The 17,302-nt window shown below is 50.2% G+C and overlaps 1 protein-coding gene across 18 annotated transcripts in view, besides 9 other annotated features; it reads right to left on the reverse strand.

Moving 5' to 3' along the window:
* HVCN1 (hydrogen voltage gated channel 1) overlaps positions 1-17,302 on the reverse strand; it is a 56,267-nt gene that overhangs the window by 25,927 nt on the left and 13,038 nt on the right. For 3 of the 18 annotated variants that reach the window (XM_011538846.3, XM_011538847.2, XM_024449225.2), the window contains 2 exons: positions 14,013-14,096; positions 8,613-8,652 (listed from right to left, as the gene is read on the reverse strand). In XM_011538846.3, the coding sequence (XP_011537148.1) occupies positions 8,613-8,633 (21 nt within the window). In that variant the 5' untranslated portion in view covers positions 8,634-8,652; positions 14,013-14,096. Of the gene's footprint in view, positions 1-2,935; positions 3,077-8,612; positions 8,653-14,012; positions 14,097-14,183; positions 14,504-14,699; positions 14,798-14,922; positions 15,166-17,302 lie in introns of those variants that run through there. The other 15 variants (XM_017020026.3, XM_011538842.3, XM_011538839.3 and 12 more) reach the window with 14 other exon arrangements.
* Positions 2,711-2,850: an enhancer, noted in NCBI's record as "active region_7020". NCBI's record gives its function as "activates an Ori minimal core promoter by ATAC-STARR-seq in GM12878 lymphoblastoid cells {active_cell/tissue: GM12878}" and the evidence as "EXISTENCE:reporter gene assay evidence [ECO:0000049][PMID:35858748]".
* Positions 2,901-3,260: an enhancer, noted in NCBI's record as "active region_7021". NCBI's record gives its function as "activates an Ori minimal core promoter by ATAC-STARR-seq in GM12878 lymphoblastoid cells {active_cell/tissue: GM12878}" and the evidence as "EXISTENCE:reporter gene assay evidence [ECO:0000049][PMID:35858748]".
* Positions 12,573-13,401: an enhancer, noted in NCBI's record as "H3K4me1 hESC enhancer chr12:111124990-111125818 (GRCh37/hg19 assembly coordinates)". NCBI's record gives its function as "activates a minimal SCP1, AML or CMV promoter by ChIP-STARR-seq in primed H9 embryonic stem cells {active_cell/tissue: H9 hESC(primed)}" and the evidence as "EXISTENCE:reporter gene assay evidence [ECO:0000049][PMID:30033119]".
* Positions 13,964-14,013: an enhancer, noted in NCBI's record as "active region_7022". NCBI's record gives its function as "activates an Ori minimal core promoter by ATAC-STARR-seq in GM12878 lymphoblastoid cells {active_cell/tissue: GM12878}" and the evidence as "EXISTENCE:reporter gene assay evidence [ECO:0000049][PMID:35858748]".
* Positions 14,194-14,693: a silencer, noted in NCBI's record as "silent region_4859". NCBI's record gives its function as "represses an Ori minimal core promoter by ATAC-STARR-seq in GM12878 lymphoblastoid cells {active_cell/tissue: GM12878}" and the evidence as "EXISTENCE:reporter gene assay evidence [ECO:0000049][PMID:35858748]".
* Positions 14,754-14,823: a silencer, noted in NCBI's record as "silent region_4860". NCBI's record gives its function as "represses an Ori minimal core promoter by ATAC-STARR-seq in GM12878 lymphoblastoid cells {active_cell/tissue: GM12878}" and the evidence as "EXISTENCE:reporter gene assay evidence [ECO:0000049][PMID:35858748]".
* Positions 15,264-15,313: an enhancer, noted in NCBI's record as "active region_7023". NCBI's record gives its function as "activates an Ori minimal core promoter by ATAC-STARR-seq in GM12878 lymphoblastoid cells {active_cell/tissue: GM12878}" and the evidence as "EXISTENCE:reporter gene assay evidence [ECO:0000049][PMID:35858748]".
* Positions 15,434-15,543: an enhancer, noted in NCBI's record as "active region_7024". NCBI's record gives its function as "activates an Ori minimal core promoter by ATAC-STARR-seq in GM12878 lymphoblastoid cells {active_cell/tissue: GM12878}" and the evidence as "EXISTENCE:reporter gene assay evidence [ECO:0000049][PMID:35858748]".
* Positions 16,074-16,223: an enhancer, noted in NCBI's record as "active region_7025". NCBI's record gives its function as "activates an Ori minimal core promoter by ATAC-STARR-seq in GM12878 lymphoblastoid cells {active_cell/tissue: GM12878}" and the evidence as "EXISTENCE:reporter gene assay evidence [ECO:0000049][PMID:35858748]".

Here is a 17,302-nt window from a genome sequence, read left to right on the forward strand (position 1 = left end):
CATGCTATTCTCATGATAGCAAATAAGTCTCACAAGATCTGATGGGTTTATCGGGGTTTCTGCTTTTGCTTCTCTCTCATCACCTCTTGCTGCCACCATGTAAGTGCTTTTCGTCTCCTGCCATGATTCTGAGGCCTCGCCAGCCATATGGAACTATAAGTCCAATTAAACCTCTTTTTCTTCCCTGTCTCAGGTATGTCTTTATCAGCAGCATGAAAACAAATACAAGGTTTATCCCTAAGAAATTGCCATTTTTGGACTGAGATCCAGCCTGCAGGGAGTTAAGTGGTGAATGAAGTATTTAGTGGAGGTGGGAAGAGAAGGAACCAATATATTCATAACTGGAATCCCTGAATAAGAAAATGAGATTAATAGACTAGAACAAAGATATAATTCAAGAAAACTTTTCTGATATAAAAGAGGACTTAAAAGTGCCATCTTTGTAGATAAAAACTAGAAGAAATTGATAATTTCATATGATTCAACCTAATATATACCTGTTTGCTGTTTTAATTTATTATGCTATACATATGTTCATGTAGCGTTGTTAAAAAACAAACATAAAGCTGGGTGCGGTGGCTCATACCTGTAATCCCAGCGCTTTGGGAGGCCAAGGCTGGTGGATCACCTGAGGTCAGGAGTTCAAGACCAGCCTCACCAACGTGGGGAAACCCCGTCTCTACTAAAAATACAAAAATTAGCCAGGCGTGGTGGCGCATGCCTGTAGTCCCAACTACTTGGGAGGCTGAGGCAGGGGAATTGCTTGAACCTGGGAGGCGGAGGTTGCAGTGAGCCAAGATCGTGCCACTGCACTCCGACCTGGGTGACAGGGCAAGACTCCATCTCAAAAGAAACAGAAAACCAAAAATAAAATAAAATCATAAGTAAGTGATAAAGCCAGCACAGGAACTCAAGTCCGCTAGCTTTGTTCTTTTCTCTGCCAATACAGAGAAAAAAATGGCAGAAAAGTAGATTTTTTTTTCAGCAACAAAAATGACATTTTAGAGATGGGACTGGGAGTGGTGGCTCATGCCTGTAATCCCAGCACTTTGAGAGGCTGAGGTGGGTGGATTGCTTGAGCCCAGGAGTTCAAGACCAGCCTGGCCAACATGGTGAAACTCTATCTCTACTAAAAATACAAAAATTAGCTGGGGGTGGTGGTGGTGCATGCCTATAATCCCAGCTACTTGGGAGGCTGAGGCATGAGAATCACTTGAACCTAGGAGGCAGAGGTTGCAGTGAGCCGAGATAATGCCATTGCACTCCAGCCAGGACAACAGAACAAGATTCTGTCTCAATAATAATAATAATAAAATAAATAAATAAGAGATGGGATCAAGGTTCTGAGATGCAGTCTTACCTCCCTTAGCAGAGGAGCAAACTGAAGACTGCAACATGGTAACCACCACCTGTCAGTGGACAGTCCACAGACTTGCAGCTGGGTGTGCTGCTTCCTGGTCCAGGGTCTTAACACCACCCAGGCAGGGCCAGAGCGGCTGTCCCCAGTCCTAGCTTCACTCATCCTCCCCTATAGCCCTGTCCAGCATTAAGCCTGGTGCATTTCAGCAACTAAATGACCCCTGATCTGCCACCTACTTCCCCCACCCTCTGCCACTGCCCTGGCCAACCCCCTGCCTCACTTGGAGGCTGTCGCAGCTCCTCTCTGCTCTCTCCTTCCCTGCTGCATTCTCCATCAGCTGCAGGAGAGCATCCCTCCAAGCATGACTACATCACTCCCTGTGCAGAAAAGGGCCAGCCCAGCGGTCCCGAGGCTGCCTTCCTCAGACAGGCCTGCCTGGCCTCCACTGGCATCTGGGAATTTGGACTTCTGGAAAATTCCCGCCATTCCCTGATAAGAGCAGCTCATTGTGCCTAGACTGCTTGTGGAAACAGCATGGTTTATGCTGAACTCCTACTTTCATTTGGAGAGTATGGAATTTTTCTAAGTGCCAGGCAGAGGGTACCTCTGTGCCCAGCTCCAATGAAAACTCTGGGCATTGGGTCTCTAAGGAACTGCTCTGCTTGCAAACACTTCACACATCTTGTCACAACTCCCTGCTGGAGGAAATAAGTGTGACCCCAAGGACCTCTGCCCCCAACCCAGGAGAGGGCTCTGGAAGCTTGTGCCAGGTTTTTTCTGAACTTCACCCCACGTGCCTTTTCCCTTTACTGATTTTAATTTCAATCCTTTTGTGGCAATTAATCTGAGCCAGGAGCACATCTGCATGCGAGTCCCACAGGTCCTCCTAGTGAGTCACTGACACTGGGCATAGGGTCTCGGGAACCCTGACACACTCCCTTATTTAAAACTTTTGGCTGGGTGCAGTCACTCACACCTGTAATCCCAGCACTTTGGGAGGCTGAGGGGGATCACTGAGTTCAGGAGTTCAAGACCAGCCTGGGCAACAGAGTGAGACTCCGTCTCTACAAAAAAATCTAAAAATTAACCAGGTGTAGTGGTGCTCGCCTCTAGTCCCAGTTACTTGGGAGACTGAGAGAGGCGGATCGCTTGAGCCCAGAATGTTGAGGCTGCAGTAAGCTGTGATCGTGTCACTGCACTCCAGCCTGGGTGATACAGCAAGACCTTGTCTGTTAAAAAAAAAAAAGACATCAATGCCTCCCAGAAGCCCACTCCTGTTTTGCACGCTCTATCTAGCCTCTGTCTGCCCATCTTCTCACCTTCCCTCTCACCTCTGTCCCCACTCTGGCCACATTGAGCCTTTCATACTTGGCTGGTTTCTCCAACCACAGGACCTTTGCACACGTGACTTCTTTTGCGTAGAATGTGCAACCCCCTTTCACCCTGTCCTCTATCTTCTTCTTCATCTCAGCTCTCAGGAGCTGGCCAGGCCTTCCCCATCACACTCTCATGTGGCCCAGCTGTTCACAGCATGACCTCTGTGCCTGGCAGACCACAGGCTCCTGCTAAACATACCTCCTGGATGGTGGAAGGTGGAATGAAACCCCTGAGCAAATCTCTTCTCTGTGGGGAGGCAAGAGGACTCCAAGCAGCAGGCTCAGCTGCCCCCAGCACTTCTCCCTTCCTGCCCCAGGGGATCCGTGTTCTGAGGAAGGCCTATTTTTAAAATCAGGGAAGTCTTTAAATAAGTGTAGAAACTTTTCCTTCTCTAGGGTGGGGAGGAAGTCTGAGGTTCATGAAAACAACCACCGTGACAGCTGATCAGCTCTGGCAGGAGGAGCTGCTTACAGGCTGAGGGGCTTAACTGGCAGCCCAGGTTCCCCTAAAGCCATGCTCCCCAACTGTCTCCTTTTCTATAGGGTTAGGAACCCTCCTGCCTGATAGATGAGCCGGTCAGCCTGGTGAGATGATGGCAGGGCTGCATACAGACTATATGGGACATATTTACAGGAGTAGGAACTGTAATCATTCCAACTATCCCCAGAATACCTGCTATTTAATATTTTCTGAGCTCTGTGCAAAGACCTTCATTAACATACTGTAACAAGCCCATGAGGCGGGGACTGCAATGTCTCTGTTTATGGATGAGGAAACTGAGAACAGAGAGGCCAGTGACTTGCCCCAGGTCACACAGCCAGCGAGAAGCAAGGCTAGGATTCCAACCCAGGCTGCCAAGCCCAGCTCCCCCTCCTCCTGCGGGACCCCTCATGAACACTGCCCAGCCCTGCACCCTCCTCACAGCTGGGGAAGCCCCATGCTGGGAAGGGAGTTTGGAGCGGTGTTTCTCAATAAGAAATCACATTTCATACCCTGCATCTCAGTACACACTGACTTGTGTACACACATTCCATAACTAGCACTGAAGTTACTATGTGAGGCGCTCTTATTTTCCATTTCATTCTATTTCTTTTTTTTTTTTTTTTTTTTTTTTTTTTTGAGACAGGGTCTCACTCTGCCACCTAGGCTGGAGGGCAGTGGCATGATTAGGACTCACTGCAGCCTCAACGTCCTGGGCTCAAGAGATCCTCCCACCTCAGCCCAGGAAGTAGCTGAGACTACAGGTATGCACCACCACGCCTGGCTAATTTTTTGTATTTTTAATAGAGATGGGGTTTCTCCATGTTACTCAGGCTGGTCTCAAACTCCTGACCTCAAGTGATCCGCCTGCCTTGGCCTCCCAAAGTGCTGGGATTACAGGTGTGAGCCACTGCACCTAGCCCTATTTCATTTCTTAAAAGGTCGACTGTAGCCCACTCAATGGATTTCAGGACTCACCAATGCGTTGAGTTTAAAGACACAGTTTTGGGGGGACACGCTTTGCCTATTTCCCTGGGAATGACTGAGAGGGGAGTCTGGTCCAAGCCTGTGACTTCAGTCATGTCAACCAGGAGCAGGGGCTGTGCTATTTGTTTTACAAAAGTGTAGAAAGAAAAAAGAAAAAGTTACCCAGGTAGAAATGAAGAGCTGCCACCTGTGTGACTAGGTCACCTGAGCCAACATCTACTGATGCTTTGGCCATGGAAACCACAGGACACAGAGCTCAGCTATCCCTCTTTCCTCCTTCTGTAGAGGGAGGGGCTGCCTAGGCCAGGCTGCATGTTGGAATCACCTGGCAGCTTTAAGGCACCCCAAAACCTGAGTCCTGGGCTCAGAGCTTCCAATTCAACCCATCTGGGTGTGGTCTGGGTGCTGCGGTGGTGGATGTGCAGCCGAGGTGGGTAAGGAACCCCAGTTGCACCAAGGGCCTCTGCATGCCTCATGCGAAATAAGCCCAGGAGCTGCAGGGATTTCCACACACACCTGGCTCTTAAGTTCCCCAGAGGTGGCTGCTGAGTGCAGTCACCTGTGCCAAGGAACAAGGTCAGCTGAGGGCTGAAAAGCCAGTTCATCCTCATGACAGAGCCAGCAGCTCCCATGTCTTAAATGCAGGCTCGAGCCAGGCACCCGGCTAAGTGTTTTCCGCACGCAATCTTGTTTAACCCTCACCTCAACTCTGTGAGGTAGTGTGATCGTTCCCATTTTACAAAAGAGGAAAACTGGGCCGGGCGCGGTGGCTCACGCCTGTAATCCCAGCACTTTGGGAGGCCGAGGCGGGTGGATCATGAGGTCAGGAGATCGAGACCATCCTGGCTAACAAGGTGAAACCCCATCTCTACTAAAAATACAAAAAATTAGCTGGGCGCGGTGGCGGGCGCCTGTAGTCCCAGCTACTCGGGAGGCTGAGGCAGGAGAATGGCGTGAACCCGGGAAGCGGAGCTTGCAGTGAGCCGAGATTGCGCCACTGCAGTCCGCAGTCCGGCCTGGGCGACAGAGCGAGACTCCGTCTCAAAAAAAAAAAAAAAAGAGGAAAACTGAAGCTTTGGGAGGTGGCAGGGGGCAGAGAGGGGCTCTGAGGAGGGCCGATGAGGCTATCTCAGCAGAACTGCAAGCCAGGTCTGCACCATGGCTACAAAACCCCACCAGTTTCTCTCCTAACACAGCTGTTTTCCTCTCAGAAACGAGGAGAGCTGACACTCAAAAAGCTCTAAAAGCAATCTCATTAAGACAACTTTTTTCCAAAACACAATTAATTCCATAAGGGCAGATCATGAAAAGGAACATGTTCTTCAAACCAGTAAGAGGCTTATTTGCCACAAGCGGTCCTGGCTCTTTCCCCAGCCCCCCAGCAATGTCCTCCTGACAACACCCTCTCAGGCTAGCTTCTGTGTGATGACAAACAGGCTCCAGGCTCCAGGTTCCAGGCCCTGGGAGTTCCCCAAGGTGTGTCCCTGGTTGTGCATTGCAATCCCTACTTCCCTTGCTGTCTCTGTGCCCTGGTATGGGCTTCTGACAAGGTCCTCAGCCACCAACTCATTCCTTCAACCCCCAGCCTCATTTGGAACCCCCAGACTCAAATGCATACCCCCAGCTTGACCTGCTGCCATTTACCCCATGAACAGACCTATAGCCTTGATCTATTTATTACTATTGTGAAAAAAGGAACAAAAGAAAGGGAAATAAATTCATAACAATCCCTGCACACCAAACTTATGTATCATCTACCCATCTACCTCTTTCTCTCCCACCTGTCTTTATCTTTTACAATTATAATCAAAGACAGTGGGCCAGGTGCGGTGGCTCATGCCTGTAATTCTAGCACTTTGGGAGGCTGAGGCAGGTGGATCACTTGAGGCCAGGAGTTCGAGACCAGCCTGGCCAATATGGAGAAACCCTGTCTCTACCAAAACTACAAAACAAAACAAAAAAAACTAGCTGGAGATGGTGGCGCACACCTGTAATTCCAGTTACTAGGGTGGCTGAGGCCCAAGAACCATTTGAACCCAGGAGACGGAGGTTGAAGTGAGCCGAGATTGCACCACTGCACTCTAGCCTGGAAGACAGAACCAGGCCCTGTCTCAAAAAAACAAAACAAAAAAAGGCAGCAGACAATTTTCTATCTTATTTTTTACCACTATATGCGTCAGATTCGCACCTGTTCAGAGGCCAGGAAACTTACCAAGGAGTCAAATGATCTCATTATTGCATTTTGCATGTTTTTAAACCATTTTGGATGGTTTTTAATCCAATTCTAAGACCACGTTTTCTCACATTTTAATGTCTCTGAAATCTGGCTGGGCCTGACAATTGATCGGTTTCAGCCTGTGTTACTTTTTATCACAGTAAATGGCAGCACATGGTTTTGCTTTTTTTCTTCATAGTACATAAAATAAGGTGCACGCATAGTGTTGTCTCATGTGCTAAGAAACATGGTGCCATAAATTGTACTTTTTCTTTTTTATGGGTTCTTTTCCCATAAGTGAGATGACCAGGCTTGAATATGGATATTTTCAAGATTCTTGATACACATGGTCAAATTTTGTGTCTAGAACAGTGGCATGGGTTGACCCAGTCCCCCGTGATATGTATGAGTGAGCTGGTTTCATCACAGTCTAATCAGCATTAAGCATTTCCGAATGTTCTTTTTGGTTTGCCTAATTTAATAGGGAACTACAAATGAAGGAAAAGCATGAACAGTTCCCACTTAACCTTTCTTCCATGCTGACTCTCTTATGAAGGATACCTGGAGCTCCTGGGGCTCCTAACTCTTACAGTTACCAGGGTCATCAATTTGATGAAATACACAATCACCATCATCATCATCATCATCCCGTGGTCATTCTGACCCTCACATTTGCTTCTCAGACTCTGCCCCACTCACCCCTGCTGCTGCCCTGAGCTTCCTGCTCTGCCCTCGCCAGCTTGGCCTGGCTAGGCCCCCAGAACCTCAAGATGAACAGCTGATGTGAAAGTCAACACTTCCTTTCTACCTTGCCCCCAATCTTCACAACCAATGCCCCCCAAATCCAACAAACCTGCACCTCACATATCAAAGACACAGTCTATTTCCTACTCGAGATGGCCATAAGGTACAGGAGGAAAGCATTTCCTCTGGAGTCAGGCCAGGTTGAAATCCCAATTTCTGTTTTTTTTTGGAGACGGAGTTTTGCTCTTGTCACCCAGGATGGAGTGCAATGGTGCGATCTTGGCTCACTGCAACCTCTGCCTCCCAAGTTCAAGCGATTCTCCTGCCTTATCCTCCTAAGCAGCTGGGATTAGAGGTGTGTGTCAGGATGCCTGGCTAATTTTTGTACTATTAGTAGAGATGGGGTTTCACCATGTTGGCCAGGCTGGTCTCAAACTCCTGACTTCAGGTGATCCACCTGCCTCGGCCTCCCAAAATGCTGGAATTACAGGCGTGAGCCACCGTGCCTTTGCCTCCTAAGTTCAAGCAATTCTCCTGCCTCAGCCTCCCTAGTAGCTGGGATTACAGGCGCATGTCACCACGCCTGGCTAATTTTTGTATTTTTGTAGAGATAGGGTTTTGCCATGTTGACCAGGCTCATCTTGAACTCCTGACCTCAAGTGACTTGCCCACCTTGGCCTCCCAAAGTGCTGGGATTACAGGCATGAGCCACCACACCTGGCCTAAAATCCCATTTCTGCCACTTTCTAGCTGTGTGATCTTCAGAAGTGACTTTACTTCTCTGTGCCCAAGCCCTGTATGGGCTCAGTACTTGCCTAACATTCTGAGACCACTGTATTATCAAATCTTCCCGACAATCCTGCAAGGGCAGGGGTGGTAAATAATCTTTTCACTATTTTCCAGATAAGGAAACTGAGGCTCAGGGAATTGAAGGGCACACAGTTATTTTGTGCCTAAGGACACATAGTTATTAACATGCACTGTTCGAGACCAGCCTGACCCACATGCAGAAACCCCATCTCTACTAAAAATACAAAGTTAGCCAGGTGTGGTGGTGCATGCCTGTAATCCCAGCTACTTGGGAGGCTGAGGCAGGAAAATCGCTTGAACCCTGGGGGGCAGAAGTTCTGGTGAGCTGAGATTGCACCATTGCACTCCAGCCTGGGAAACAAGAGTGAAACTCCATCTCAAAAAAAAAAAAACAAAAAAAACCGCACATAGTTATTAACATACAGGGCTGGGATTCAAATGGTCTGATGTGGAATATCAGGCTACTTGGAGGTTTTGTGAAGTCCTTTTACAGCTTTTCATCATTTTGATTTTAAATATTTCAGTATAGTGGAAACACCTGAACAGGGAGTTCTCCCTCTCCTGTTTGAAACACCAAACAGAATTATCCTCTCAAGGCTGGGATATCCTCTAATGCTGCAAGACCACAGAATCCATTACCTTTTCGTCCCAGGTGGCCATGTCCCTGTTGCCTCTGGATCTGAAAAATAAAAAGACATTTGTCCAGATCTATCATCTTGCTGCCATCTGCCTTGGTATGTGCTCTGTAATCCTTTCTTACAAATTAGTTTTAAGTTAGTTTAGTTTTAACTGTGCCCGAAATTAGTGTAAAGTACAAAGTATATGTAGGAGGGCATACATCCTGGATATAGAGCCAAATGAACTGAAACAGGGACTCAAACAAATACTTATTTGTACACGAAAGTTCATAGGCTTTCACAGCATTATTCTTAAAAGCCAAAAGGTGGAAACGACCCGCTTGTCCATCAATGGATGAATGGATCAACAAAATGGGTCTGTCCACACAATGGAACGTTATTTGGCCATAAAAAGAAATGAAGGGGGCCAGGTGTGGTGGCTCACACTTGTAATCCCAGCACTTTTGGGAGGCCAAGGTGGGTGGATCACCTGAGGTCAGGAGTTTGAGACCAGCCTGGCCAACATGGTGAAAACCCGTCTCTACTAAAAATACAAAAATTAGCTGGGCATGGTGGTGGGGACCTGTAATCCCAGCTACTTCGGAGGCTGAGGCAGGAGAATCGCTTGAACCCAGGAGGCAGAGGTTGCAGTAAGCCGAGATCGTGCCACTGCACTCCAGCCTGGGCAACAGAACAAGACTCTATCTAAAAAAAAAAAAAAAAGGAAAAAAAAAAAGAGAGAGAAATAAAGTATTGATACTTATTACAATGTAGATGAACCTCAAAGATACCATGCTAAGTGAAAAAAGCCAGACATAAAATGTCACATATTGTATGATTCCATTGATATGAAATGTCCGGAACAGGATATGAAATGTCCAGAACAAGCAGATTGGTGGTTGCCAGGGGCTGGGGACAGGGAAGGATGGGGAGTGACTGCTTAATGGATTAGGGGGTTTCCTTTTGGGATGATGCAAATGTTCTGTGCAGCTAACAAGGTATTTTTTAAAAAGCAAAATGATATATTATTAATTTTAATACAAAGAAAAACAGTGAAAATGTTCTGATAGAGGTGAAGGCCGCACACTGTGAAATGTACTTAAATGCCACTGAATTATTCACTTTAAAATGGTTAGCTTTACATTATGTGAATTTCACTCCAATTGAAAAAAGACAGACATTACAGTGTTGGGGTTGCTCTGAAAAACAGTAAAACCTTCTGAACACCCACCACCAGCTATATCAGTGAATGCACCTCTGAGCAGCAGGAGCTGCTAGTGCTGTTGAGTATTCACATATGGACGTGGAAAGACGCCAGCCACAGAGCAAACAGAGGAGTCACATTACGGCAGAGTCTACAGGATGACCCCATCTAAGTCAAAAGAAATACAGATGCTTTTTTTTGGTCCGTAAGGATCACTCTTCGCAGTGGTTATCTTTGGAAGAAAAGGGAGTGATCTGGGTGTGGGGCTTTCCTTCTCTGCTTCTGGGAGGCGTGAACTTTTACAATGAGTAGGTGTTACTTTAAAACGTTATTTTTAACATAGGTGATCTATGCATGTAGTAAAAAGTTTAAATTATACAAAAAGATATTCTATGACAAGTCAGTCTCCCCTCTACCCATTATCCTTCCCAGAAGTGGTCGCTCTGACCCTCTGACCAGTTTCCTACGTCGCCTTCTGGAGTATTCTATGCCCTCACAAGCACATGAGTAGATACTCTCCCCCAACCTTTTATTTTATTTTTTTTGTAAACAAATGTGAACCCACATACTGCTGTGAACCTTATTTCCCTTCAGGGTGTGGTAGGCAAAATAATGCTCCCCTTCAAAGATGCACATACCCTAATCCTTGAACTTGTATATTACTTTACATAGCAAAAAGGATTTTGCAGACATGATTAAGTTGCAGCTCTCAAGATGGAGGGAATGATTTTGGATTATCCTAGTGGACCCAATGTCATCAGAGGGGTCTTTGATAAGTGGAGGCAGGAGAAAGAAGAGATTGTGAGGACAGAAGCAGAGGCTGGAGTCAGAAAGATCTGAAGATTCAGTGCTTTAAAGATGGAGGATGGGGCCTCAATCCAAGGCATGTGGGCCCCTCTAGAAGTTGGGAAGGCAAGCAAACAGATTCTCCCCCAGAGCCTGCAGCAGCAACACAGCCCTGCCCATACCTTGACTCGAGCCCACTGAGACCGATTGTGGACTTTTGACTTCCAGAACTGTAGCATAATAAATGTGTGTTATCTTAAGCTGCCAAGCTTGTGGCCATTTGTTACAGCAGCCACAGAAGACTAACACAGTATCTCAGAGGTGGTTCTATGCCAGTGTGTCCTGTATGAAGTGCACGCCTTGTCATGGCTGCACATGAGTCCCCTGTAGGAATGTGTTTAATCCTACTAGTGATGGACATTTACGGTTGTTTCCAATCTCCTCCCACCCCAGCGCTTCCATAAATAACCCTGCACACCCTTTTTTTTTTGTTGTTGTTGTTTTGTTTTGTTTTGGAGTTGGGGTCTCACTCTGTCACCCTGGCTAGAATGCAGTGGTGCGATCAGAGCTCACTGCAGCCTCAAGATCCTGGACTCAAGCGATCCTCCCACCTCAACCTCCCGAGTAGCTGGGACTATAGGCACACACTACCAAGTCCAGCTAATTTTTGTAGAAAGGGGGGTCTCACTATGTTATCCAGGCTGGTCTCAAACTCCTGAGTTCAAGTGATCCTCCTGCCTCAGCCTCCCATGGTGTTAGTATAATAGGCATGAGCCATTGCACCTGATCCCTCTATGTAACTTCTATAATTTTTTTTTTCCCCTGAGACAGAGTCTCGTTCTGTTGCCTAGGCTGGAATGCAGTGGTATGATCTCGGCTCACTGCAACCTCTGTCTCCCAGGTTCAAGCGATTCTCCTGCTTCAGCCTCCTGAGTAGCTGGGATTATAAGTGCCCACCACCACGCCCAGCTAAAATTTTTTTTTGTATTTTTAGTAGAGACGGGGTTTTGCCACGTTAGCCAGGCTGGTCTCAGACTCCTGACCTCAAGTGATCCGTTGCCTCAGCCTCCTAAAGTGCTGGAATTACAGGCATGAGCCACCGTGCCTGGCCTAATTCTAAAAAATTATTTTGAAATAAACTTTCAAGAAAACTTTAAAGAGGTTCTTTCTCTCCCCACAGTTACATGCTGAGGGTGCAAGGGACTCTTAGACTTTCTCGCTGGTTGACTGGCAGAGCAACTTCTGGACCCAGCAGAGTTCAGCTTTGCATGTCCCTATACCAGCCCCCTGGGATTCTCAACCTGCTCTCACGAGAGGGGCTCAAGTGGAACCATCACCACAAGAGGAGGTGAAGGGAAAAATTAAGGTGCCCTGGAGATTTCCTACCTTTGCAAGACAGGAGCTAGAACTAGCACACACGCAGAGGAACACTCAGCTTCAGCAATTCAAGCAACAGAAACTTTAAAACTACCATGCCCTTCTCCATTAAACTAGCCAAAACAAATAAAAAGGATAAAAACCAATGCTTGCAGAGCTGCAGAGAAATGTGCACACATTCCTGGGGATGATTTTTCTAAATAGCTACCTGGTCACAAGAGGTAAGTGCTTCCAAAATGATCCCACCCTTGACTTGCACACCTTGGTTAGGAAACTGTATCTCCAAGAAGCCATTTGATAGCCAAAAACATGCACAATATGGACAATGATATTTATAGCTAAGTTGAATAGTATGGCTAAAACCTGGAAGTGGCCCTCAACCCCCAAGCCCTACTTTAGGGAAAAGCTGAGGAAGGCAGTGGGCTCTTGGGAGGGATAATTCTGAAGTCTATGTAGAAACGGGAGAAAAAATGCTGTCAAGCAGTGAGAAGAAAAATAGGCTGATGGCTGACACATTGCCTGCAACTGTACAAAACTATCTGAGCCATTCCTAGGTGCCAGGCACTGATTTCCCAGGTTCTGGGAAATCCAAGGTGAAGAGGAAAGGGCAAGATCACGATCCTGGTAGACTGACATGTTACCTGGGGAGACAAACAAGGAAGCAAGGAAATATACAAGACAGACCACACCCCCCCCCCCCAGCTAAGCACTGGGAAGCCAGCCAGCCAGAGTAAGGGGCCAGGGAGCAGGCGGGGTCTCCTTAAGTGGGGTGGTCAGGGACAACTCGACATTTATGGTGTGCCCTGAATTACAAGGGAGTATGTCACAGATTGCAGAGAAGAGCATTCCCGGGAAAAGGAAGAACACGTGTGCTGTGCACAGCCCCTGAGAGAGCGGAGTACTTAGGAGGTGGCGGCTGGGGACAGCAGTGGACAGGACAGTGGCCAGAGAGAAAAATTGAGAATAATCACACAGGGCCTGATCATGGAGAGGGCTTGGCAGGCGATGCTGGGGATTTGGATGGAAGTGAGGGGTCCAGCGTGATGAGGCGGCAAGAGATGCTGGCGGCCTGGTCTCAGGGTGGAAGTAGGGGGTGGAGGGGTGGCCGGATTCAGGATATGCTTTGGGTTAGAACTTGTCGCTAGCCTAGACTGTGGGGAAGGGACGAGGAGCGGGGTGGTGGATGACAGCTCCCAGGGCCCAAGCCCCAATGACTAGCAAAGGATCAAGTCTGGGGACAAGAACACTCTGGCTTTCTCCTTCTTGCTAAACCTGTGTCGGGGAGGGCAGGGGCCACAGAGCAGCTCTGGACCTTGTGCAAGCCTCAGCCCAGAGATTTTCAAAACCCTGCCCTTATCAGCCTTTCCCTCTGGGGAGTCAGCCAGAGAAGTTGCCACCCCCTCACCTTGGTCTTACTCAAGCAGCTCCTAGTTGCTGGTGGGGCTGTCCGGAAATCCTGCAGATCTCAGATAGCCCTGAACAACCTGAAGTTAAAGGTGCCCAGGACAGAGAAGTACTCTCAGAGGGGCAGGACGGAGGGTGGAGGAAGCACTGGAACCATGAACTTTTGGTAGTAACCTGGTGCCAGGGGCTAAGCCTGTACACCAAGCATCTTATATCATCTTCTCAGCAATCCTGCGAGGTAGGTACATGCTTAACCTCATGGGACAGATGCGGAAACTGAGGCAGAGACAGGCCAAGTCACGAAGCTGAGCCTGCAAGATCCCCCACACCCAGCACTGGTAAAAGTGGTGGGGGCAATGTTGGAGGGAGTTCCACTGAGGAACTGCTCTCCCCTCTCTGTCTTGGCGTTTACCCTGGCCCCAATCACTCTTGTTCCTCAGCATCTCTGTCTCCAACAGGTGGGTGCTTTTAAAGTGTTTCTAGGGAAGAGTTTGCTTCCCCGGGGCTCCTCCTTCAGGGATGGCTGGGCCTGCTCATTGCAGCCTTCTCCCGGGACATCCAGCACTGCCTCTGCCCCTGCTTCTCTCCTACAATCTCCCGGGAGGGCAGCGGGGCAGGGACGATGCATCCGAGGACTTAGGGGACACAGACCTGGTTGTGAGTTCTGGCTCTGCCTCCTTTGGCTGTGTGACCCAAGGCAAGGGGCTTGGCCTCTCTGCGTCTTGGTTTCTTCACCTGTTAAGAGGGAGACGACGATGGTCACCTGTGGCTGCTGCGCGGAGTGTGAAGAACTGAAGGCACCTGGCCCAGGGCGGCGCGCACCACCAACTCTCCGGGATCGGGGGGTCACTAGGGCCAGCGTCTCCCGCGTTCCCCTCCCCTGGACTCCAGTCCCTGCCGAGGGGAAGCACTGCCCGCCCGCGCCGGGACACGCCAGAGCCGAGGGCAACCGAGGGCTGGGGTCCTGCTGGGGCTCCACGGCGAGGCCTGGACAGCGGAGATGCGGGGGGGGGTCCCCTCTTCTCGGAAGGATCGGGCACTGGGGGTCTTGTAGAAAGGGCTGCACGCCAAACGGGGTACGCCCCCCGCCCGGCCCGAGCACTTACCCGGCGCCCCACCCGCCCGCGGTCACCGCTGCGACTGGGAGCCTCAGAGCAGGTCCGGCCCAGCCCGTCCCGCCCCGTACCGTACCAGGCCCCGCCCCCGCCCGGGCCGCCCCCGCCCCCGTCCCCGCCCCCACAGCCCGCAGACCCCCAACGGTCGGCGGGCTTCTAGGCCTCGGCCCGGGTCTTAGTCCCCTTGTCCCTGCCTGTGGTCAGTCCACCCGTTCGTCCCTACCTCCCTCACCCCGGCTGCCTCCCGCCCCGCAGGGTGGGCCTGTCCTGGGCCTCCCGCAGTTACAAAGGTCCCGCCCGTGGGAGCGAATCGCGGATCACAAAAATCCTGCCCCGGGCCAGCCTAAGGGAAGGGTGGGCGGGGGAACCACTTCCTTCCTCCGCCGGCTGGAGCGGGGCGAATCCACCCCGCCAACCCCTTTCGGGGAGCTTCTGCTCCATCCCACCGTCTCCGGGCCACCCCTGCCTCTGGGTCTCCTGATTCCTTGGCCTCGTCCCCTGCACAGTTTCTGCCATGCAGGGGTGGAGGGTGGGCAGCACGCTCTGACGAATGAGCAACCTCTCAGCCCTCAGAACTTCCCTTGGTCGAGGGCTCTGAGGCTGCTCATGGGATGGTACTGGCAAGAGGGAGCCTTACCGCGTGCAGCCCCTGCCTGTCCTGGGCCGCCTTGCTCCGGGCCAACTCGTACGGCCCCGCAGGCGCAGGCCCAGCTCTGAAGTCCCTCCCCTGTGGGCCCTCCCAGCACCCTGTTCACACAGTCGAATCAGTTCTGTTAGCTTCTGTCTTCCCCCAGAGACCATTTGTCCCAAACATCCTGCAAAGCCGTCTTCTGCACACCTCTCCCTTCCGGTTGAGTCGGGGCTGTGGGGAGAGGCTCACCTCCTTGGGGTTGTGTTAGTTTCCTCATGCCGCTGTTAACAGATCACCACAAACCTAGTGGCTTAACACAAATGTGTTATCTTACAGCCCTGGAGGCCAGAAGTCTCAGATGGGTCCTACAGGGCCAGAATCAAGGTGTGGGTGGGGCTGTGCCTTCTGGAGGCGCCAGGGTAGTGTGTTCCTTGCTTTTCCCGGCTGGAGAGGTGCCTGTGATCCTTGGCTGTCTCAATCCGACCTCTGCCTCCATGGTCACAGCGTCTTCTCCCTTCTAAGGAGCCCTGTGATTATATGGGATCCACCTGGATAATCCAGGCTAATCTCTCCAGCTCAGGATCCTTCACATAGCCACATGTGCAAAGTCCCCTTTGCCACTTAAGGCAACATACAGGTTTGGAGGGGTTAGGATGTGGATATCTTGGTAGGGGGGTGCATTCTTCTGCCTCCCATAGGGGTATTGTCTGCTTCAACTGACTCGGCTTTCCCCAATTCTGCTGGGCAGCTGGCTTTCTTTTCTTTTTTCTTTTTTTTGGAACGGAGTCTCACTGTCGTCCAGCCTGGAGTGCAGTGGTGCGATCTTGGCTTACTGCAACCTCCGCCTCCTGGGTTCAAGCAATTCTCCTGCCTCAAGCCTCCCGAGTAGCTATGATTACAGGCCAGCATCACCATGCCTGACTAATTTTTGTATTTTTAGTAGAGACGGGGTTTTACCATGTGGGTCAGACTGGTCTCGAACTCCTGACCTCAAGTGATCTGCCTGCCTTGGCCTCCGAAGGTGCTGGGATTACAGGTGTGAGCCACTCCACCCGGCAACAGTCTCACTCTGTGGCCCAGGCTGGGGTGCAATGGCATGATCTTGGCTCAGTGCAACCTCTGCCTCCTGAGTTCAAGCAATTCTCCTGCCTCAGCTTCCTGAGTAGCTGGGATTACAGGTGCCTGCCACCACGCCTGGCTAATTTTTGTTTTTTTAGTAGAGACAGGGTTTCTCCATGCTGGTCAGGCTGGTCTCGAACTTCTGACCTCAAGTGATCCGCCTGCCTCGGCCTCCCAAAGTGCTGGGATTACAGGCGTGAAACACCATGCCTGGACTGCAGCAGGCTTTCTTTTTTCTTTTTGAGGTGGAGTCGCGCTCTGTCACCCAGGCTGGAGTGCAGTGGCGCGACCTCGGCTCACTGCAAGCTCCGCCTCCCAGGTTCATGCCATTCTCCTGCCCCAGCCTCCTGAGTAGCTGGGACTACAGGCGCCCGCCACCACGCTCGGTTAAATGTTTTGTATTTTTAGTAGAGACGGGGTTTCACCGTGTTAACCAGGATGGTCTCGATCTCCTGACCTCGTGCTCCGTCCTCCTCGGCCTCCCAAAGTGCTGGGATTACAGGCGTGAGCCACCGCGTCTGGCCAGAAGGCTTTCTTAAAAACATTTTGGTCAGATCTCCTGACTTCTCAGTCATGTATTATTACAACAGCCCCATGCCAGTTTCTAAGGCATAGTCTGGTCCATTTTCAACTTCAACTTCCTTATATTTTATTAAAAATTCTCCTCCTCCCCCAGGGCCAGCTAGACAGAGTGGAGAGGATGTGGGGACTGCTCCCAACAGCCCCTCCTCTGTGTTCACTCCCCTCTGGTTGAGGAAGGGAAAAGGGAACAAGTACCCCGTCCCCTAGTTGCACACCTGGAAGTTGCAGCCCTCTGTCTTAACATCTGGTCTTGCCTGTAGTTAGACCCTTAGTGCAGACAGGTGGTGACCTCAACAGACCCTGCTAAGGCAAGGCAAGGCTCAAACCCTGGCCTGGCTTGATCCCCTGGCTACCTTCCCCCATCCCTTCCCCTACAGAGGCATCGCTCAGTCTTCTCCCTGGGTACTTGCCTCTGCTCCACGGTGCAGTGGTCCAGTCTGCAGCCCCCAACCTTACTGATGGCCTGGAACCTGGGGCCACCAGCAGGGACCTAT

The sequence above is a fragment of the Homo sapiens genome, chromosome 12 (genome assembly GCF_000001405.40).
Source record: "Homo sapiens chromosome 12, GRCh38.p14 Primary Assembly".
NCBI classification, from domain to species: domain Eukaryota; kingdom Metazoa; phylum Chordata; class Mammalia; order Primates; family Hominidae; genus Homo; species Homo sapiens.